This window comes from Homo sapiens, chromosome 20 (genome assembly GCF_000001405.40).
Source record: "Homo sapiens chromosome 20, GRCh38.p14 Primary Assembly".
Taxonomy (NCBI): Eukaryota; Metazoa; Chordata; class Mammalia; order Primates; family Hominidae; genus Homo; species Homo sapiens.
In genome coordinates, this window is record NC_000020.11 from 1,721,161 (window position 1) to 1,744,733 (window position 23,573).

The 23,573-nt window shown below is 43.0% G+C and overlaps 1 long non-coding RNA gene and 1 pseudogene across 3 annotated transcripts in view, besides 3 other annotated features; both read right to left on the bottom strand.

Annotated features, from left to right (window-relative positions):
- Window positions 1-1,132, bottom strand: part of SIRPB3P (signal regulatory protein beta 3, pseudogene) — a 27,968-nt pseudogene extending 26,836 nt beyond the window's left edge. The window contains exon 1 of the transcript NR_164369.1: window positions 1,010-1,132. The product of NR_164369.1 is annotated as a signal regulatory protein beta 3, pseudogene (transcript). The remainder of the gene's footprint in view (window positions 1-1,009) is intronic.
- Window positions 724-1,296: an enhancer, noted in NCBI's record as "OCT4-NANOG hESC enhancer chr20:1702530-1703102 (GRCh37/hg19 assembly coordinates)". NCBI's record gives its function as "activates a minimal SCP1, AML or CMV promoter by ChIP-STARR-seq in naive and primed H9 embryonic stem cells {active_cell/tissue: H9 hESC(naive and primed)}" and the evidence as "EXISTENCE:reporter gene assay evidence [ECO:0000049][PMID:30033119]".
- Window positions 1,051-1,100: an enhancer, noted in NCBI's record as "active region_17459". NCBI's record gives its function as "activates an Ori minimal core promoter by ATAC-STARR-seq in GM12878 lymphoblastoid cells {active_cell/tissue: GM12878}" and the evidence as "EXISTENCE:reporter gene assay evidence [ECO:0000049][PMID:35858748]".
- Window positions 1,297-1,867: an enhancer, noted in NCBI's record as "OCT4-NANOG hESC enhancer chr20:1703103-1703673 (GRCh37/hg19 assembly coordinates)". NCBI's record gives its function as "activates a minimal SCP1, AML or CMV promoter by ChIP-STARR-seq in naive H9 embryonic stem cells {active_cell/tissue: H9 hESC(naive)}" and the evidence as "EXISTENCE:reporter gene assay evidence [ECO:0000049][PMID:30033119]".
- Window positions 12,016-21,166, bottom strand: LOC124904858 (uncharacterized). Of its 2 annotated transcripts, none has more exons than XR_007067498.1 (3): window positions 20,606-21,166; window positions 20,233-20,322; window positions 12,016-12,066 (listed from the first exon to the last, which is right to left on the bottom strand). It is a non-coding gene; the product is annotated as an uncharacterized LOC124904858 (long non-coding RNA). The 2 variants fall into 2 exon arrangements; XR_007067497.1 differs by having other exon boundaries at window positions 12,016-12,404.
- Between the last annotated feature and the right edge of the window lie 2,407 nt (window positions 21,167-23,573).

A 23,573-nucleotide genomic window follows, 5' to 3' on the forward strand; every position in this document is an offset into this window, starting at 1 on the left:
GCTCTAATTTGGATCCCATCACTAACTGGCCCTGTGACTGTGGGCAAGACCCATGTCATTTCCTGGCCTCAGGCTCTTGTTTGTCAACAGGGGGTTGGACTGGCTGGTCTGAAGATCCCTCCTGTGCTAACATCCCAGGATCAGGAGTTAGATTGTGAATCTAGATCTTTGGCAGGAAACCCAAAGTGAGCGTCTTTGCTAACTCTACTGGGAAACCTCTAAGTCACTCACATGGGAGGCCTCTTCCCTGGAGAGAGGGATATTCTGAGATGAACCACCTCTGACTGCAGCCTACAGTACCTGTGTAAGTCAATCCCTGAATCACACAAGAGTTTCTCTAACAGATCCACAAACACCAAAGCTCACGGCATCTATGCCCAGCAGGGCCATCAGATTAAACAATGGATCTGTGCCTCTCAGAAATCTTCCCAATGTGATGTTTTTTGAAGATTAAACTAAGAAAAACACAATCCCCCTCCCACCCCGAACAAATTCCTTCTCATTGGAAGGAAAGAGAGGGTAAGGTTTGTGAGAGACAAGTTTTTCCCTGTTTTGTTCATTGCAGCTTACACAGCAACCAGGGCAGAGCCTGGCACATAGTAGGTTTTCAGTGAGTACCAGTTATATAAAAAGGAGACTCGGCCACCCAGAGGGGGAAAATGCTCTGTGGAGGCAGAAGGCAAGATCTGGCCTTGTGCCTGGGCAAGTCACCCAATCTTTCAGTTCCCTCATCTGCAGAAACCAAAGGCTGGGCCAGATGAGAAGAGACAAGTTGTGGAGAAGGCAGACCAGTGTTACAGACTTTACCCACCATTTACAGGCCATGGGTGCCTGAGTGAATAGCATGATGCATCAGGCCTTAACTTAACTGATCTGTAGAAGGGGGTGACACCAGTTCATGAAAATGCGTACCCACCACCACACCCGATTGTTGCTCAATGAATGGAAGGTGTTACTATTGACTTATTGTCACACACTGGGGGACGAAGGAGGCCCACACTGTACTCACTATGCACAGACAACTCAGTGCCTGGTCCAGATTTAAGCTCCATGTCAGGGCCCCCTTTCCAGAACTTCACACAGTTGTAGGTGCCAGTGTTGGCTCTTGTGATGCTAGTGATGCACATGGAAAAGTCTGTATTGTTTCTCTTTGTGATGTCTGAAATGCAAGCTATCTTGGGAAAGTGGCCTCCTTTTGAACTGTAGATTAGTTCCTGCCCTGTTTCAGTTCCTTTGAACCACCTGATGGGCCCCAAGGGCAAAGGGAGGTCACAGAGTGGTCAAACCTCCAGCTGTGACTGACACTGACTTCTCAGGCTGAATCACCCGCAGCTCCTCCTCACCTGCCGCTCCTGGAGGAAAACACAAAACAGTCATTTAATCATCCTTATGTGATGCTTATGTTTTCTAAAGTGTTTATCAATGACTTTCATTGACTGAGTATACACCAGGAGTGGGCCTTGAGCTCAGCACACTGCATGTATTATCTCATTTAACCCTCACAACAAGCCTGTACCATGAGACTGTATTACAAGTGAGAACACTGTGGCAGAGTCAGGTCCAGTTTAATGGTAGAGCATGAGGTTGAGGACCTGAGTAGAACTCCTGAACCCTCCTTTGAAATATCATGCTTTGCCAAATATTTGTCTCTCTACTTTCTGGCCACATGGAGTGTTGCTTTTTCTGAATCATTGCATTGGGTGGCGCCATGTGACTTCTTTAGACCACTGAGTTGCGAGCAGAAGTGATGGGTATAATTTGTGGTCTGTGCATTTAATGGCAAAAGCCTCTGTGGATCAACTGCTCCCTTCCACAAAGACCCACAAGGCTCTGATGGAAGCTACTTCCTCACTTTGGATTTCTGAGTGACTATAAAATACATAACTCTCAACGCACAATGAACATATGGCTTAAATAAGAAATAAAACATTTTTTAAGCCCTGAAATTTTTTAGCCATAGCATAATCACATTACATTAGATTCCTAACGATGCTCTGACAAATTACTACTAAATGTATGTACTACAACAATAGAAATGTATTATCGTACACTTCCGGTGGTCACAAGTACAAAATTGGAATTGTTGAGCTGTAACCAAGAAAAAAGAAAAGAACTCAAATATGCAAAGGTGGAGAATAAAACTTTGGTTTCCTGGAGTAGGGTTGGGGAAGGTTATGGGGAGATGTATGTCGAAAGATACAAAATTGCAGATCGTTAGGATGAAAAACTCTACAGATGTCATGTACAGCATGAAGACCCTAGTTAATAATATTGAATTATTCTCACAATTTTTACTAAAAGGTAAGATTTTAGATGCACTTGGCATACACACAAAACAAGGTAGCTATTTGAGATGATGGTTATATTCATTTGCTTGACTGTAACAATATCTATCTACCTATATATATCTCAAAGCACTTTTAAATATATACAATCTAAGCAGGTATCAGCAGAGATAATATTTTTAGGCTTCTGTCTCTTACCTGTCCAGTTCTAGAGGTTGTTCACATTCCTTTTTTCACAGTTTCATCTTACTATCACTCCAACCTCTTGCTTTCATTATCACATGTCCTTCTTTAATTCTTACTCTCCTGCCTCCTACTTATAAGAACTCTTGCAATATATTGGTCCCATCCTGATACTAGACCAAGACTTTAAAACAACTGTCTTAAAATGCTCAAAGAGAGCCAGGTGCGGTGGCTCATGCCTGTAATCCCAGCACTTTGGGAGGCTGAGGTGGGTGGATCACCTGAGGTCAGGAGTTCAAGACCAGCCTGGCCAATGTAGTGAAACCCCATCTCTACTAAAAACACAAAAAATTAGCTGGGCGTTGTGGCAGGCACCTGTAATGCCAGCTACTAGAGAGGCTGAGGCAGGAGAATCACTTGAACTGGGGAGGCAGAGGTTGCAGTGAGCCAAGATCACACCATTGCACTCCAGCCTGTGCAACAAGGGCAAAATTCCATTTCAAAAATGCTCAAATAGCTAAAGGAAAACGTGGACAAAAATCTAAAGGAAATTAGGAAAAGATGTATTAACAAAATGAGAACATCAACTAAGAGATAAAAAATATTAAAATAGAACCAAACAGAAATAGAAGAGCTGAAAGTCATGATAATGCAACATTCGCTAGAGGAGTTTCATAATAGATTTTAGCAGGAGGAAGAAAGAATCAGAAAACTTGAAATGAAATTATTGAGTCTCCAGGATAGAAAGACAAAAAAGAATAAAGAAAAAGGAACAGAACCTGAAGGACTTATGGGATACCACTAAGTGGATGAACATACACATTATGAGAATAACAGAAGAGGAAGAGAAACAGAGAGGAAGGAGAAGATGGTTATTTGAAGAAATAATATCCCAAGTCCTCCCAAAGTTGATTAAATATGTGAATCTACAAATATAAGTTGCTGAACAAATGCCAGGTAAGATAAACTCAGAGACCCACACTAAGATATATTATAATCCAACTATTGAAAGCTAAAATGAAACAAAGAATCTTGAAAGCAGCAAGAGAGAAGCCATTCCTCACATACAAGAGATCCTCAGTAAGATTGTTGGCTGAGTTCTTATCAGAAGCATTGGAGGCCAGAGGCAGTGGGATGTTATGTTTAAAGTTCTGAAAGAAAAGAAAAGCCATCAACTAAGACTTCTATACCTGATAAGACCATCATTCAAAAATATGGGATAAATCGAGATATTCCTGGATACACAAAAGCTGACAGAGTTCATCTCCTCTAGACCTGTCCTACAAGAAATCTTAAAGGGAGTTCTTTAGGTTGAAATGAAAGGATGCAACATAATACCTCAAAATTGTCTGAAGAAATAAATATTTTCTGTTGTGGTTTAAAATTTTAGAACTTCATATTTTTCTCATGCCTTGATGTCCCCACAAACAGGCTGTGAGCACCCTGCCCACGCAATGAGGTGCCAATATGATAAGGCTGGTCCCTGATACCAGTTCTTGCCCTCCCCTACTGTAACCTAGTGATATTCAAACACACCAGTGAAATTCCCTCATGCCATTTGCTTGTGTACTTTACTGTGACTCTAATAAAGGCATTTTCCCAGGGGTCCACCCGGTCTCATCTCCCCACCTGCTAACTTGAGCCCTTTCTCTAGGAGCTCCTTCTAACGGGCTCCCTGTGTGGCATGTCATGCTTCACCTTTTAGGAACTATGAGTAAAACAAATCATTTAATTTTATATGTCTCTTCAAGTATGACTTCTGCAACTGTGTTGGAATGATCCCCAAAGATCCCACCAATGACACTTACTCCACCATTTACAACACAACTGGTGATGAGAATGGATCATTTAAAATGGGTAGAAAGTTCCCAGGGGATGTTTTTTAACTGCTCATGGCTCACTAATTTGCTATCCTGATTGGCTCCACCAATAGAGACGACTTTATATCCTGCTGGCAAGGTGTGCACCACTTTGTGTTTCTGCCAGGACTTTCCATCCTATAGTGTGGATCCTGTCCCAATCTCAATAATATGGCCCAGGATACCACTTCCTATCCATGATTCCAGCAAGAGGGGGATACTTAAACTATCATTGCCAGGGATCTGAAGTTACTGGGCTATGTGGATTGGCTATTTCTCAGTGTACTTCGGAGTGATTTTGATTTGAAGAAGAACTCCTGCTGATAGAATGGAGATCTCCTTTGGTGCTGAGTGCATATCACTCTGTTCCAGCCTCAGCAATAAAGACAAGTTGAGGAGTCCAGTGGGCTACAGCTTGGGTGGGTGGCTCTCTCCCCACTGTTCAATGTGTTGTTGAATTACAACAACACAGATGCTTCTCAGCTTGTGGTGAGGTTATGTCCCAGTAAACCCATCCTAACTTGAAAATGTTGTAAGTCAAAAATGCATTTAACATACCTAACCTACTGAACATCATAGCTTAGACTAGCCTGCCTTAAACATGCTCAAAACTTAAATTGGCCTAGAGTTGGGCAAAATCATCTACACAAAGACTACTTGATAAGAATGTATTGGATATCTCCTGTAATTTATTGAATACCGTACTGAAAGTAAAAGAATGGTTGTATGGGTACTGGAAGCATGGTTTTTGCTGAATGTATCACTTGCACACCATCAGAAAGTAAAAACTTAGAAATCGAGCCATTGTAAGTCAGGGACCATTTGTAATTTCCTCTCTTCTCTCTTGGTGTCAGGCAGCCCTCCTTTCTCAGAGAGTCCTCCACGGCACCTCGTAGAGCTCTGTGCCTCCAGGGCTGCTGAGAGCTTCTCTGTTGCCTCCCTTGCTGCTGTTGCTTTCATATCCCAACTCCATTGGATATCTCAGATCTCATCCACGGAGATAGGTGGCTCAATGTTTTTAAAAAGCAGAGCAAAGTGGGAAGGGGCACTTTGATCCCACTCCCCCTAAGACGCTTGAGGTTTCTTAGATCATTCGAGATTATAAATCAGGACGGGAAGCCACTCAGGACTACCAGGGGCTTGTCAGGTAAATATCCAAAGAGAGAGGGGAAACCTGTATCCACTCATAAATGCGAGTCATTCTAAAATATTTTGCATCCTGGGCAACATGGCAAAACTCTGTCTCTACAAAAAAAAAATTATGCAAAAAATTAGCCAGGCATGGTAGAGCATGCCTATAGTCCTAGCTACTTAGGGGGCTGAGATGGGAGGATCACCAGAGCCTGGGAGGAGGAGGCTGCAGTAAGCCAGGATCATACCACTGCACTCCAGCCTGGGTGACAGAGTGAGACCCTATGTCAAAGTAAATAAATAAATAAAATATTTGCTGAAGAGAAAAGAAGAGGGAGGGGGATGGACTGATTATATTGGAGTCATCAGGGCCATCCCAGAGAGAGGCTACTGCCTAGAGGTGCTATCCTTTTTCTCCTTTTCCTCTTACTAACCAGAGACAAAACTAAAGGCATAGCTTCCAGAGGCAATAATCCCAAAATAGGAAAAAAAAAAAAAAAAAAAAAGAAAAGAAAAAAGAGGAAAGGAGAGATTTGCTGATTTAGGCACCCACAAAGCCAAGATGGAAATGAAAATGTACATTAACACTTATGTACTGAGCAAGTGTTAGGTTTAGAAAGTGTCACACACGTCCCTGTGAAGAGACCACCAAACAGGCTTTGTGTGAGCAGTAAAGTCTTTTAATCACCTGGGTGCAGGCAGGCTGAGTCCAAAAAGAGTCAGTGAAGGGAGATAGGGGTGGCACTGTTTTATAGGATTTGGGTGGGTAGTGGATAATTACTGTCAAAGGGGGTTTTTCTCTTGCAGGCAGGGGCGGAGGTCACTGTGGGGGAGCTTCTGAGCCAGGAGAAGGAATTTCACAAGGTTAAATGCTCAGTTAAGGTGGAGCAGGAACAAATCACAATGGCGGAATGTCATCAGTTAAGGCAGGAACCGGCCATTTTCACTTCTTTTGTGATTCTTAGGCCATCTGGATGTATTCATGCAGGTCACAGGGGATATGATGGCTGAGCTTGGGCTCAGAGGCCTGACATTCTTGTCTTCTTATATCAATAGGAAAAATAACATAAAATAGTATTGAAGTTTTGGGGCAGCAAACATTTTTAGGGGGTGGTACGGAGAGATAATGGACGATGTTTCTCAGGGCTGCTTCGAGCGGGATTAGGGGCAGCATGGGAACCTAGAGTGGGAGAGATTGAGCTGAAGGAAGATTTTGTGGTAAGGGGTGATATGGTGGGGTTGTTAGAAGAAACATTTGTTGTATGGAATGATTGGTGATGGCCTGGATACAGTTTTGAATGAATTGAAAAACTAAACGGAAGACACGAGGTCTGAATAAGAGAAGGAGAAAAACAGGTATTAAAGGACTAAGAATTGGGGGACCCAGGACATCTACAATTCAAGAGTGCCCAAGGGGGTTCAGTGTAATTACTTGCTTGGTTGGTGAGTTTTTTGGGCTCTATTCTTGAGTTTTTTTATGTTGTCATACACCAGGCCAGATTGATTTAGGTAAAAACAGTTTTCATTTAAAAATATACAGAGTCCTCTTTTTTTAGCAGTGAGTTAAGTCGAGGCCTCGGCAATTTTGGAGGAAAGAGAAATGCAAAGCCAGCAATCGTTTGTTAAAGAAGGATTAGAAACAGCTAGGAGAGAGTGAGCGAGATTGATAGTGTGGTGGAGATAGCTGGGGAGAGGTAGAGGGTGGCATAAGAATGGAAACAAGAGTAAGAGTGAGTATAAAAGTAAAGAATAAGACTTCATCAGGGTGAAAGTATTGGAGTGTACCCTGTCAGCAAAGATCATTTATCCACTTTAAGAGAGACTTAAGGTGGTAGTTTGAGATAAAACCAGGAGCCGCTGAATATTAAGAGCCTGAGAACTGCTTGGGTGATTTGACTAATAAAAGGCCGGTTCATTATCAGACTGTTTAGAGGTGGGAAGGCCAAACCGAGGAATTATGTCTGACGGTAGGGAAGAAATGACTGCGGTGGCCTTCTGAGACCTTGTGGGAAAGGCCTCTACCCACCCAGTGAAAGTGTCTACCCAGACCAAAAGGTATTTTAGTTTCCTGACTTGGGGCATGTGAGTAAAGTCAATTTTCCAGTCCTGGGCAGGGGCAAATCCCCAAGCTTGATGTGTAGGGAAGGGAGGGAGCCTGAACAATCCATGAGGACTAGTAGAATAGCCAATGGAACGCTGAGAAGTGATTTCCTTGAGGATAGATTTCCACAATGGAAAGGAAATAAGAGGTTCTAAGAGGTGGGATAGCAGCTTGCAACCTACAAGGAAGACGTTATGAAATGACGACAGAATAGAATCGGCCTGTGAGGCTGAAAGGAGATATTTCCCTTGGTCTAAGAACAATTTGCCTTGTGTGGGAAGAGATTGATAGGTGGAAGTTTCAGTGGCGGAGTAGGTGGGAGTTACTGATGAGGAGAAAAACTGGCTGTGAAGGACTGAAGTTGGAACACTAGCTGCTTCTTTAGCTACCTTATCGGCATAAGTGTTGCCCTGAGTGATGGGATCTGATGCCTTTTGATGGCCTTTGCAGTGAATGACTCCAGCTTCCTTTGGAAGTAAAGTGGTCTTGAGAAGAGTTTTTATTAAAGAGGCATTAATGATGGAGGACCCTTACGTAGTGAGGAAACCTCTTTCTGCCCATATAATAGCATGGTGGTGCAGGATATGGAAGGCATATTTAGAGTCAGTATAAACATTGACATGTACTCCTTTTGCAAGAGTGAGGGCCTGAGTTAAGGCAATGAGTTTGGCTTGCTGAGAGGTAGTGGAGGGGGCAGAGCAGGAGCCTCAATGATAGATGTGGAAGATACTATAGCAAAGCCTGCCTTTGCTGGTGAGTGGCGATTAGGCCTGGTGGAACTGACATCAATAAACCAAGTGTGATCAGGGTGAAGAACAGGAAAGAAGAAAATATAGAGAAATGGAGTAAATGTCAGGTGGATCAGAGAGATACAGTCATGGGGGTCAGGTGTGGTATCTGGAATAATGTGGGAGCCAGTCTAAAACAGTGAGGTCAAGTAGTTTGGATAGGAAGGCTACAGGGCGTGGTCCTGGCTCTTGTGTAAGAATTTCAACCGCACAGCCCTGTACTTCGGCTGTGTGTAATGAAAAGGGTTGGGATGAGTTAAGGAGAGCTAGTGTGAGAGCAGCTTCTAGGGCTGTTTTTAAGGAACGGAAAGATGAGTGGTGAAAGGATTTAGGATCTATGGGGTCAGCTAGGTTTGTTTTTGTGAGTTTGTATAATGGTTTAGTCAGGATGGTAAAACTAGGTATCCAAAGGTGAAACTATCCAACCATGCCCAGGAAGGAAAGGAGTTGTTGTTTTGTAGAAGGGGTTGGGGTTTGAAAGTTTAGCTGGACATGCTCAGCAGGGAGAGCATGTGTGTTTTCATGAAGAATTATGCTGAGATAGGTAATGGATGAGGAAGAAATTTGGACTTGACTGAAGTAATGGGGGCTGTCCATGAAGCCTTGCAGTAGTATAGCCCAGGTAATTTGCTGAGCCTGATGAGTGTCAGGGTCAATCCAAGTGAAAGTGAAGAGAGGCTGGGCTGAAAGGTACAAAGGAATAGTAAAGAAAGCATGTTGGAGATCCAGAACAGAATAATGGGTTGCGGAGGGATGTATTGAGGATAGGAGAGTATCTGAGTTTGGCACCACGGGGTGGATAGGCAAGACAATTTGGTTGATAAGGTGCAGATCCTGAACTAACCTGTAAGACTTGTCCAGTTTTTGGACAGTTAAATGAGGGAATAGTAAGGGGAGTTTATAGGCTTTAAAAGGCCATGCTGTAACAGGAAAGTGATACCAGGGTTTAATCCTTTTAAAGCATGCTGTGGGATGGGATACTGGCATTGATCAGGTAAGGGTGATTAGGTTTTAATGGGATGGTAAGGGGTGCATGATCGGTCACCAAAGAGGGAGTAGAGGTGTCCCAAAATGGTGGATTAAGATGGGGAGATACAAGGGGAGGATGTGAAGGAGGCTTTGAACTGGGGAAAAGGGCGGCAATGAGGTGTGGCTGTAGCCTAGGAATAGTCAGGGAAGGAGATAATTTAGTTAAAATGTCTCAACCTAATAAGGGAGCTGGGCAGGTAGGGATAACTTAAAAGAAGTGCATAAAAACTGTTCTTCAAGTTGGCATCAGAGTTGGGGAGTTTTAAAGAGGTTTAGAAGCCTGGCCGTCAATACCCACAACAGTTATGGAGGCAAGGGAAACAGGCCCTTGAAAATAAGGTACTGTGGAGTGGGTAGCCTCCGTATTGATTAAGAAGGGGACGGACTTACCCTCCACTGTAAGAGTTACCCAAAGCATCTGTGATGGTCCAGGAGGCTTCCGAGGTGATTGGGCAATGTCAGTCTTCAGTCACTAAGCCAAGAAGATCTGGGAAGGAGTCAGTCAGAGAGCCTTGGGCCAGAGTTCCAGGGGCTCTGGGAGTGGCTGCCTGGTGAGTTGGACAGTCCGATTTCCAGTGAAGTCCCACACAGATGGGGCACAGCTTAGGAGGAATCCTGGGCTGCAGGCATTCCTTGGCCCAGTGGCCAGATTTCTGGCACTTAAAGCAAGATCCTGGGGGAGGAGGTCCTGAAGGAATGCCTGACCACTGTGGATTTAGGTGTTTTGAAGTTCTTGTGTATTGGAGATGTGGCTGGGGTTTCTCTCACAGTGGAGGCAAGTAATTGCAACTCTTTTCTATTATTGTACACCTTGAAGGCGAGGTTAATTAATTCCTTTTGTGGGGTTTGAGGGCCGGATTCTAATTTTTGAAGTTTTTTTTAATGTCAGGAGCTGACTGGGTGATAAAATGCATATTGAGAATAAGACGGCCTTCTGACCTTTCAGGGTCTAGCGTTGTAAAGCATCTCACGGTTGCTGCCAAACCAGCCATGAACTGGGCGGGGTTTTCATGTTTACTTTGGGTAGTTTCTTTAAGCTTTGTTCTTTAACAGTTCTTTAACAGCTTTGTAAGCTGCCTTTTTACACCCTTCAACTAGGCAGGAAATTATATAATCTTGCCTAGCTATACCTGGGGAATCTGCCTGATAGTTCCATTGGGGATCCTCTCGGGGAACTGCTCTAATGCCTTCCTGGAGGTCTGGCTCTTGAAGCCGGCAGTTATCAGCGTGAGATTGGGCTGGAGAAAAAACTCTTTCCCATTCATCTGGGGATAGGGTAGAAGTTAGGATGACATTTCAGTCACTCCAGGTTAAATTGTAGGACAGAGTTAGATATTGGAATTCCTGTATATATTTAGTGGGGTCTGATGAGAAAGAGCCTAAACACTGGCTGATCTGAGAGAGGTCTGATAGAGAAAAAGGCACATGTACCCTGACTATGCCTTCAGTTCCAGCCACCGCTCTAAGAGGAAATTGTTGGGCAGGTGGGGGAGGGCTAGTCTCAGAATGAAACTGTAAGCTGAACCAGGTGTGCACAGGGGAGGTGATAGAAGGATTATAGGGTGGAGGAGCAGAGGCCAAGGAAGAATCGGAGCCTGATTTAGCTTGGCGGGGAGCGACCTGAAGAGGAGCAGTCTGGGGAGGAGGGGAGAGGTCACATGGGTCAGTAGGAAAGGAAGATTGAAAAGACTCAGCGATGCTTGGGGTTGGGACTGAGGGAACAGGTGGGGGGGAAAGAAGGAGGATTTGGGGTGAGTCACATTGGGAACAGAGACTAGGGAGGGACCGATGTGTAAAAGAATGCCTGGATGTCAGGCACCTCAGACCATTTGCCCATTTTATGACAAGAATTATCTAGATCTTGTAGGATGGAGAAATTGAAAGTGCCGTTTTCTGGCTATTTGGAACCATCGTCGAGTTTGTTTTGGAGTCAAACAGCATTGCAGAAGAAAATAAGGTGTTTAGGTTTTAGGTCAGGTGTGAGCTGAAGAGGTTTTAAGTCTTTGAGAACACAGGCTAAGGGAGAAGAGGGAGGAATGGAGGGTGGATGGTTGCCCATAGTGAAGGAGGCAAGCCCAGAGAAAAGAGAGGGTAGAGACATGGAGAGAAGGGGTGGGGGGTATTTGTGCCCCAGCAAAGTGGTACTTGCCACTAAGGTGAAGGATCAAGGCAGGCGTCCCTGCGGTGATCAGACACCTCTGAAACGTGGGTGAATAATCAGGCAGGCATCCCGCAGTGATTAAACACCAAGGGAAGACTGTCTTCCCGAGCCTGTGACTGGTGCCGGAGTTTTGGGTTCATGGATAAAACGCATCTCCTCTGTCTCTACCAGAAAAGGAAAGGAACTGAAATTAAGGGAAGAGAGAGATTGAAGGGTGGCGCCAAGATTGAAAGGAGAAAGAGGTTAAGGGATAGTGAGAGAGGTTGGAGAAGAGAGTAAAAAGAGGCCACTCACCCGATTTAAAATTGGTGAGATGTTCCTTGGGCTGCTTGGTCTGAGGACCCGAGGTCATAGGTGGATCTTTCTCACAGAGCAAAGAGCAGGAGGACAGGGGATTGATCTCCCAAGGGAGGTCCCCCGATCAGAGTCATGGCACCAAATGTCACGTGCATCCATGTGAAGAGACCACTAAACAGTCTTTGTGTGAGCAATAAAGCTTTTTAATCACCTGGGTGCAGGCAGGCTGAGTCTGAAAAGAGAGTCAGCAAAGGGAGATAGGGGTGAGGCCATTTCATAGGATTTGGGTGGGTAGTGGAAAATTACAGTCAAAGGGTGTTTTTCTCTTGTGGGCAGGGGTGGGGGTCACAAGGTGCTCAGTGCGGGAGCTTCTGAGGCAGGAGAAGGAATTTCACAAGGTTAATCACCCAGTTAAGGTGGGGCAGGAATAAATCACAATGGTGGAGTGTCATCAATTAAGGCAGGCACCGGCCATTTTCACTTCTTTTGTGATTCTTCACTTGCTTCAGGCCATCTGGATGTATTCATGCAGGTCACAGGGGATATGATGGCTGAGCTTGGGCTGGAGGCCTGACAGAAAGCATAATGCTACCCTTAGATTACATAATGATTTAAAAACAATACACAGCAGGAAAAAGTAAAGGGTAATTAAATAAATTCTGGGTACATCCGTATTTTAATATAAATTGCACAAAAACCTTTTAATCTGAGGAATGCAATGCCCCTTTCAATTATCAGGCCCAGAGAGGCACTGGAATGAGAAAGCAGTCATGTCCCACTTCCCTCCTTCAGCTAAGTAACCATCTCTTGAGGCTGCTTGCCATGTGGACTCTAGACTGACTGATGCCCCAGGTAGATACAATTTAATGTAACAATGCCATATGTGGACACTATAAGTCATATTCTATAGTTAAATAACGTATAAAGGTTACTAATCAATGTTATTTTTGTAAAGCAATGAGAATTCCTGACAAAAACTTTTGTAATCATCCCCTCCCCTGGTTTGTCCTTTTTCCTTAAAAGCTCGAGTCTGTTCTTTATTCTCCAAAGTGACTTGGAGGTGTTTCCTGGGTTACAGTCTTCAAATTTGGCCCAAATAGACCTTCTACTTATATTAATTTTATCTAAGCTTCTTCTCTTAGGTAGACATGTCCGCTGTAGTCAGCAGGATTCAGAGGGACCTCCCAACACTGAACATGCTGCCTTCCCTCTTGGGCTCAGTGCTTGGTACCAGCATTAATGCACTATGTTCCTCAGACTCCAGAGGTTTCACAGGGTGTAAAAGGGTGAGTCCTCCTGAATTCAGATCTCCCTTTCTTTTTTGGTGAGGTTTTGCCTTTATTTGGGCTGTTCTCTCCAACTGCCTCTCTTTAGAATGGAGGTTTTGATCTCTGTCTATGGGCAGGAGATTCTGGTTTCAGGAATAAAACAAAAGATAACTGTCTCCTCTGCTGCTATTTCACAGCAGGTGTTCCAGGTCGTAGCATTGGCAGTCTACCATAAGTAGTTTCATTTCTTTTGGCCTAAAATTACATAGCATGCTGTTAAAATTGTAGCTGTTCCCTATTGCATGAAATTCAGACTTGTATTTTCATTTGTGACCAATTCCTGTTTGTTCAAAACCAAAGGAAACATGAGGATGAGTTCAATTCTCTCGAAGAGAATTGCATGAACAGCTGTTACATGCAGGAGAGGGACTCATGACTCACTGGTGACACTTTGTGGAGTGATGCTCACAAAGCAACACACTTTGACCTGATACACTGTCCTAGCCTTGGACACTTTTGAAAAGGAAATTCTAAAATTACGGGAAACTGCTGGACGAAACTGAGCTTTCCTTTAAGGGGCAACCATCCTTAGGAAGACCAGCTGCATTTATGTATAATACTTACTGTATTAGTCTGTTCTCACACTGCTATAAAGAAATACCTGACACTGGGTAATTTATAAAGAAAAGAGGTTTAGTCAGCTAGGTGCAGTGGCTCATGTCTGTAATCCCAGCACTTTGGGAGGCAGAGGCAGGGGGATCACCTGATATCAGGAGTTCAAGACCAGCCTGACCAACACGGTGAAATCCCGTCTCTACTAAAAATATAAAAATTAGCAAAGCATGGTGACACGTGCCAGTAATCCCAGCTACTCAGGAGGCCAAGGCAGGAGAAATGCTTACACCCGGGAGGGAGAGGTTACAGGGAGCTGAGATCGCGCCACTGCATTCCAGCCTGGGTGACAGAGCAAGACTCCATCTCAAAAAAAAAAAAGAAAAAAAAAAGAAAAGAAAAGAAAAAGAAAAAGAAAAAAAAAGAGAGGCTGGATAGGTGGAGCACAGGGATTTTTAGGACAGTGAAACTATTCTGTACAATACATCAATGGTGGATGCATGTCATTATACATCCATAGAGTGTACAACACCAAGTGGGTATATGGGAACTCCCTGTACTTTCTGTTCAATTTTTCTGTGAACCTAAAACTTCTCTAAAAAGTAGTTTAGTAGGTTTTTTTTAGTGTGTGTGTGTGTGTGTGTGTGTAAGTCCCTCTAGTAACCAGGCATGACGGCATCCACCTGTAGTCCCAGCTACCAGGGAGGCTGAGGTGGGAGGATCACTTGAGCTCAGAAGTTCAAGGACAGCGTGGACAATACAGCCAGACCCTGTCTCTTGAAAAAACAAAGTCTTGGCACTTCCAGAGCCCGGTGCTGCCGGCCGCGGGAGATGAGTGCCCAGTAGGGAGACTTCTGTGAAGCGTCCCGGTCCTGCGACGTCGCCCACCCGGGAGGAGGCGGCTTCTCGGTTCCTCAAGGCCCCCGGGAGTCCGAACCTCGGCAGGAGGCTGGCAGCGGCGTGGGGACCCAGAGGGCAGGGGCGGTCTGCGGGGCGGCCCTGGGACTCCCTCCCTCCCTCTCCTGCTGCGGCCGCCCTGGGATATGGGGGCCGTGGATGTGGGTCGCCGCTGGAGGTGTGGCCCTGGGTGGTCCATCCGGCCGCAGAGGCCCGTCCCCCGTTCACCCAGGCCGGTACCCTATGGAGCACCTATTACGTGCAGTGCTATTCTGGGTTCCTGGGATGCCACCGAGTGAGACGGACACACAGACTCTCAGCCCAGAGGGGAACCGTCCCTATTAATCAGGTATGATCCTCCCTCTGCCCGTCGCCTAATAACCCCATTGTTTCCAGACAACAGATCAACAAGTGCTTCACGTGCAGGCGGCCTGGCATGCCTGGCATCTTCCAGCACACTCCCCTTGGCTCTGCTACAGCCTTTTTGGCCTTTTACTTCTTGAACGTGTGGTTCCTTGGGTAACGATGCCCTCTTTGGTCTGGTTAATTCCCCTCCTTAGGATTTCTTGTATTAGGGCAATCCTTGCTAGTTTCTGTGTACAATTTGCCTTTTCATGGGTTTTTCGGACTACCACATACTCGTTCCTAGCACTTAGCACAGGCGTAACCTTACAGTTATTTGAGTGCAAGTTACACAAGAACAAGAATTTTTCCGCCTAATTTCTAGTACCAACCACATTGCTTGGCACAGAGTATGGTTCAATAAATATTTGTTGGCTGAGAGGCAAATGTATTTGTAATTATCATGTGAGATACCTGCTGTAAAAAAAAGGGAATACCTGCCTGGCAGATGTGACTTAATTTGCATCCTCCAGGATATGGTTTTTTGTTTTTTTTTTTTTTGTTTTTTTTTTACAGAGTCTTGCTCTGTTGTCCAGGCTGGAGTGCAGTGGCGCGATCTCCCATCTGCACTTACTGCAATGTCTGCCTTCCAGGTTCAAGCGATTCTCCTGCCTCGACCTCCCAAGTAGCTGGGACTACAGGCGCATGCCACCATGCCCAGCTAATTTTTTGTATTTTTAGTAGAGACGGGGTTTCACCGTGTTAGCCAGGATGCTCTCAATCTCCTGACCTCATGATCTGCCTGCCTCAACCTCCCTAAGCGCTGGGATTACAGGCGTGAGCCACCGCACCCGGCCAGGATATGGCTTTTAAGTTGAGATCTTCAGGGTGAGCAGAGCAGAAGTCTCCCTTGAAGCCAGGAGCTCAAGCATAGCCTGGGCAAAATAGTGAGACTCTGTTTCTCCAAAAACATATGAAGTTTAGCAGGGCATACTGGCATGCACCTGTAGTCCCAGCTACTTGGGAGGCTGAGGTGGGAGGATCCTTGAGCCTAGGAGTTTGAGGCTGTAGTGAGCAATGATTATGCCACTGCATTCCAGCCTGGAAGACAGAGTGAGACCTGACCATATACGTGTACATATATGATTATTACACAATTGGAGATTGAAATATAATCTATAATCAGTTTTTCATTTACTGTATTTGAATATTTGCCTATGTTGCAAAATATTCCACAATATGGTTTTTAATGTTTAGTTTATTTTTTTCCAATTTATACCAAACTGTTGGATATAAAGTTTGCATTTTTTGATATTATAAATAACTCTGCAGTGAATATGAGCTGAAATCTCAGATAAATTCAAGTTGAGATTTTTAAAATTAAAAATTGGTTTTAAAATTTGGATACTTAAACAGTATATATGTACATGGTAAGAAAAAGAGTTACCTAAGATTCTATGGTTAAAAAAGCTTCCTTGTCTAGGTGCGGTGGTTCATGCCTGTAATCGTAACACTTTCGGAGGCTGAGGCAGGCAGATCACCTGAGGTCAGGAGTTTGAGACCAGCCTGGCCAACATGGTGAAACCCTGTCTCTACCAAAAATATAAAAATTAGCTGGGCATGGTGGCACACACCTGTAATCCCAGCTACTCAGGAGGCTGAGGCAGGAGAATTGCTTGAACCTGGGAGGTGGAGGTTGCAGTGAGCCAAAATCACACCACTGCACTCCAGCCTGGGCAACAGTGAGATTCCGTCTCAAAAAAAAACTTCCATCTCTACTTAGACCCTCAGCCCCACTCTCCAGAGAAGACCACTGGTACATTTTCTAAATGAGAGAAAATCATATGCACTGTTCTGAACCTGCCATCTGATACTTAATAGAACAGATCGAAACATTCTTAGGTAGGTATTTCTGTGAAGGAAAAGTTGCAACAGTTTACACTCCCGCCAGCAGATAATGGGAGTCTGGTTCCTTGTACTTTCTCTAGCTTGAGGAATTATCAATTATCACTTTTTAAGTTCTCAATCTGATGGATAGAAAATTACATTTTATTGTTTTAATTTGCCATCTTTATTTACTAGAGAGTAAGAAGCTTTTTATATGCTTATTGGTTATTGATAGGTGAATTGATCACTTGCTATGGTTTGGATGTTTGTCCACTACAAACCTCATGTTAAAATTTGATCCCTGATATGGTTTAGCTGTGTCCCCACCCAAATCTCATCTTGAATTGTAATAGCCTCCACATGTCAAGGGTGGGGCCAGGTGGAGATAATTGAATCATGGGGCCAGTTTCCCCATACTGTTCTTGTGGTAGTGAATAAGTCTCACGAGATCCAATGGGTTTATAAATAAGAGTTCCCCTGCACAAGCTCTCTTGCCTGCCGTCATGTAAGACATGATTTTGTGCCTCCTTTGCCTTCTGCCATGATTGTGAGGCCTCCCCACTCATGTGGAACTGTGAGTCCATTAAACCTCCTTTCCTTTATAAATTACCTAGTCTTGGATATGTCTTTATTAGCAGTGTGAGAACAGACTAATACAATCCCCAATATTGGAGGTAGGGCCTAATGGCAGGTATTTGGATCATGAGGGCAGATCCCTCATGAATAGATTAATACCCTCCCTGCAGAGGGTGGGGGGGTGGGCACAGTGAGTGATTTCTTATGATTAAGAGCTGGTGGTTCAAAAGAGCATGGCATCTCCCCTGTTCTCTCTGTTGCTTCCTCTCTTGCCATGTGATCTCTGCACATGCCAGCTCCCCTTCCCCTTCTGCCTTGAGTGGAAGCAACCTGAGGCCCTCACCAGATGCAGATGCCTAGCCTTGATCTTTCCAGCCATCAGTCATGAGCAAAATCAACCTCTTTTCTTTTTAAATTAAAAAAAGTAAAAACAAAGTCTCTCTAGTAATATAAAATGATAAAACATAAAATTGAATCAGATGTAAAATGTGTTGTGGACCCCTGACGTTTTTGCAACACAATCAAAACCCATTTCCTCTCTCTTGCCAGCAGAGGAAATAGGTTTAGTTAAACAAGGATGTGTTTTTGGAGGGGTCATTTGGAAAGGGAAGAGAAATGATGGGAGGAGAAAACGATAATCAAACCTCTGTGGGAGAGAGGGTCACACAGATTTTAACACCTTTAACATGGGAAGTCACCATTCCCATCTACTCCCCATGTAGGCAGAGAAATGGGGAGAGGCAGAGGAGAAATGCCCAGAACAGGAGGGAATGGCCAGGAGTTGGGCAAGTCAGTTGGCCCCTCCTGGGCTCAGTTTTATCCCCTGTAAACCAGAAGTAGCAATACTTACCTTACACTCTTTTGTGGAGATTAAATAAAATAAAGTGTTTGCTATGCAATGATGCTGAATAAATAGTACTAATTGTCATACCTGATGCTTGGCAAACAACAGGAAATTGCTAAGTGTTGAATGAATCTTACTGTATGTTGTCAGTCACTGACCTCTGGCTTTTCCAGGTGCTGTGGACCTACTGACACTTTTTCTTATCTGGTATTGTAGAATTTCTCTTGCCTCTCCAAGGCCAACTCCTCCCTCTGGGATTCCTTTGGTCCCTCCCACTTGTTAATCCACAGAGCTGGCATCCTTATCATCAGTTATGGAAAGCCTATGGCTTGGTTTCACTGGAACAGTCTCGGGTTATACCTGTTGTCCTCATGTTTTGCTTGTTTGGGTATTTGTCCTTTTTGTTGTTGTTTTAACAAAGTATTATTGTCAATAGTTGCATTAACTGAAGCTGGGGTGGATTTAGTAAACTTCCACTTTGTACTTGCAGCTTCTGCCGTGCTCTCACCTTATAGGCTGTGAGATACATGTGTAGTGAGCGAAGTGCTTTTTTTTAGCACTTGGTCACAGTGTAACTAACCCCTTCTTTTTGAGAACAGCATGAGGGGCACTCAATGATAAAGCAAAGTGCAGTCTCATGCCAGCAGCCTAGAAAAAGCTTGATTAGATGGAAATCAGAAGACACAGATTGCCAATCACAAGAACCATCAGCATCTACTTCAAAAGTTAATAGCTACATTAAGAAGATGGCGCTAAAAGATAATGATTAAAATGAGGGCTACAAAAGGTGAGCCTACATATTACTCTATGAAGCATGACTTCATTTAGATCAAAAGACTGTTCTTCTAAGTTAATTATACTCATTACTTTCTCCAAGTTTTTTTATGCACACATGAAAAGTGAAGCAATGGTTGTTAATGTGTTGGCTCCATTAAGAGAAGTCAGCAGTTAAATGATGCCATCAGAGGATTCAAATAGAAAATCATGATTTAATGTTTTTCATTTAATTCATGAAATCAAAAGTCTTTTGGAAATTCACTCTTGTAGTTTAAGCATTTGACATTATTGTGATTAATATTGAAATCAGTTGACAAGTGCAACACAGAGGTAAAATTACTTATATTGGTAAAAATAATGTTCTTACTAAATTAAGAAACCTGTAACTAGAAATGCACTTGGACTTGGTTGTTGCATGTGCCTAATTTCTAACCATATCCAAATAAGCTGCACCATTCCACCATTTGAAATAGAAGGTACAGTTGTCATAATTTATAAAGATTTTATACAGTTAAATTAACTGAACTAAAAAAGTTTATGACAAAGCTGAACACAAAAGGATATTTCCTAATGGCAGTACATGTTCTTTGTCCCCTTTTCCAATTACAAAACAACTTCACATTTTATGTTATAAAATATAGTCATTTGTTGAGAACATAAAGCCTAGGAGAATGGGTATTTTGATACAAACTCTGAACAAAACACCACCCTTGCTACTTCCTGCACAATGATTATGTTTAACGAATAGCTCATCATCCTGTACACAAGCTATTTCATTCGTGAGAACTGAAGCTGCTTAAAAACATTGATAACTTTCCAATTCCCCAGAAGAGGTCTTATATATAGGCAATGTATAGGATATTTATTAAATTGGTGTTGTATACACTTAATATTACATATCCAAGAAAAGAAATTTGAGAAAGAGAAATTAAAATGCACTTGGGAGTTTTTTTTTCTTGCAACCGGTGTTAAATTCAGCTCTTTACCTACAGAATGCAAAACAAGACACCCAAGAAGAACCCCACTGTTGTTAAGTTACAAATTGCTGTACGTAAGAAACAGTTTATTTGAAGGAAAATGCACTTATTTTTAAGTTAGTATCACACCATGTATAACCTAAAGTTAGAAAAGTCACTTATTTGAAGGCACAATTCTATTCCAGATTATAGACAAATCAAAATCTTACAGACCTCACCTGGCAAGAAAAATGAGGTCACTGGTCTATCCTGTGGCTCCAGAGTCTACGTCACGGTCACACCCAGGCCTCCAGGAGCAGTATCTAGTTCTGTAAGACAGAAAGTTCTATTTCTTTCTTTCCTCTTTCTTTCTCTGTCTTTCTCTTTCCTTCCCTTCTCTCTTTCCTTCTTTCTTTTTCCCTTCCTTCCTTTTCTTTCTCTTTCTTTCCCTCCCTCCCTCTTTCTCTTTTTCTTTCTGTCTTTTCTTCTTTCTTTTTCTTTCTTTCTTTCTCTCTTCCTTTCTTTCTTTCCTTCTTTCTCCTTCCTTCCTTCCTTCCCTCCTTTCTTCTTTTTCCCTCCCTCCCTCCCTTCCTTTCTTCCTGCTATATTCACCATGTGAAAAGATTCTGCAGCCTCCTCCGGGCTTTCTTCATTCTACCCGAAAAGGCAAATGACTTCACTTTCTAAAGTAGCATCAGCAACCGCTCTTTTGTGGCAGGAGGAACAGGAATTGAAGACCCAGCAGAAAGCAGAAGTCAACTGCTATAGACAGCCTTGACATAGCTTAAGCTAAAGGCTTTGAACGAGAATAAAACAAAATACATAAGCCCTCCAACATGTCAGAAGAAGATAGATTTTTAGAAAAAATAAGGTTGCCCTTTCCTTTCATCTGCTTAAGGAAAAAAAAAAAGAGAGCGGGTGGGGGCCGTGACTGGCTTCATCAAGCCAGTAAAAGACAATGAAGGTCCATAAAATACTCTATGGTATTACTTTACTTCAAAATAGTAGTTTTCCTCAGGCCACTGAAAAAATGGTAGCAACCTATAAATGTATACATTTGAAAAAAAAAGTTTAGGTCCAAGGTAATGACTAATCTCTGAGTCTGTGCCTATAAAGAGAAACAATGATTCCTCGACACATACACTCTCCCAAGACTAAACCAGGAAGAAGTTGAATCTCTGAATAGACCAATAACAGGAGCTGAAATTGTGGCAATAATCAATAGTTTACCAACCAAAAAGAGTCCAGGACCAGATGGATTCACAGCCGAATTCTACCAGAGGTACAAGGAGGAACTGGTACCATTCCTTCTAAAACTATTCCAATCAATAGAAAAAGAGGGAATCCTCCCTAACTCATTTTATGAGGCCAGCATCATTCTGATACCAAAGCCGGGCAGAGACACAACCAAAAAAGAGAATTTTAGACCAATATCCTTGATGAACATTGATGCAAAAATCCTCAATAAAATACTGGCAAACCAAATCCAGCAGCACATCAAAAAGCTTATCCACCATGATCAAGTGGGCTTCATCCCTGGGATGCAAGGCTGGTTCAATATACGCAAATCAATAAATGTAATCCAGCATATAAACAGAGCCAAAGACAAAAACCACATGATTATCTCAATAGATGCAGAAAAAGCCTTTGACAAAATTCAACAACCCTTCATGCTAAAAACTCTCAATAAATTAGGTATTGATGGGACGTATTTCAAAATAATAAGAGCTATCTATGACAAACCCACAGCCAATATCATACTGAATGGGCAAAAACTGGAAGCATTCCCTTTGAAAACTGGCACAAGACAGGGATGCCCTCTCTCACCGCTCCTATTCAACATAGTGTTGGAAGTTCTGGCCAGGGCAATCAGGCAGGAGAAGGAAATAAAGGGTATTCAATTAGGAAAAGAGGAAGTCAAATTGTCCCTGTTTGCAGACGACATGATTGTTTATCTAGAAAACCCCGTTGTCTCAGCCCAAAATCTCCTTAAGCTGATAAGCAACTTCAGCAAAGTCTCAGGATACAAAATCAATGTACAAAAATCACAAGCATTCTTATACACCAACAACAGACAAACAGAGAGCCAAATCATGAGTGAACTCCCATTCACAATTGCTTCAAAGAGAATAAAATACCTAGGAATCCAACTTACAAGGGATGTGAAGGACCTCTTCAAGGAGGACTACAAACCACTGCTCAAGGAAATAAAAGAGGATACAAACAAATGGAAGAACATTCCATGCTCATGGGTAGGAAGAATCAATATCGTGAAAATGGCCATATTGCCCAAGGTAATTTACAGATTCAATGCCATCCCCATCAAGCTACCAATGACTTTCTTCACAGAATTGGAAAAAACTACTTTAAAGTTCATATGGAACCAAAAAAGAGCCCGCATCGCCAAGTCAATCCTAAGCCAAAAGAACAAAGCTGGAGGCATCACACTACCTGACTTCAAACTATACTACAAGGCTACAGTAACCAAAACAGCATGGTACTGGTACCAAAACAGAGATATAGATCAATGGAACACAACAGAGCCCTCAGAAATAACGCCACATACCTACAACTATCCGATCTTTGACAAACCTGAGAAAAACAAGCAATGGGGAAAGGATTCCCTATTTAATAAATGGTGCTGTGAAAACTGGCTAGCCATATGTAGAAAGCTGAAACTGGATCCCTTCCTTGCACCTTATACAAAAATCAATTCAAGATGGATTAAAGATTTAAACGTTAGACCTAAAACCATAAAAACCCTAGAAGAAAACCTAGACATTACCATTCAGGACATAGGCGTGGGCAAGGACTTCATGTCCAAAACACCAAAAGCAATGGCAACAAAAGCCAAAATTGACAAATGGGATCTAATTAAACTAAAGAGCTTCAGCACAGCAAAAGAAACTACCATCAGAGTGAACAGGCAACCTACAACATGGGGGAAAATTTTCGCAACCTACTCATCTGACAAAGGGCTAATATCCAGAATCTACAATGAACTCAAACAAATTTACAAGAAAAAAACAAACAACCCCATCAAAAAGTGGGCGAAGGACATGAACAGACACTTCTCAAAAGAAGACATTTATGCAGCCAAAAAATACATGAAAAAATGCTCATCATCACTGGCCATCAGAGAAATGCAAATCAAAACCACTATGAGATATCATCTCACACCAGTTAGAATGGCAATCATTAAAAAGTCAGGAAACAACAGGTGCTGGAGAGGATGTGGAGAAATAGGAACACTTTTACACTGTTGGTGGGACTGTAAACTAGTTCAACCCTTGTGGAAGTCAGTGTGGCGATTCCTCAGGGATCTAGAACTAGAAATACCATTTGACCCAGCCATCCCATTACTGGGTATATACCCAAAGGACTATAAATCATGCTGCTATAAAGACACATGCACACGTATGTTTATTGCGGCATTATTCACAATAGCAAAGACTTGGAACCAACCCAAATGTCCAACAATGATAGACTGGATTAAGAAAATGTGGCACATATACACCATGGAATACTATGCAGCCATAAAAAATGATGAGTTCATGTCCTTTGTAGGGACATGGATGAA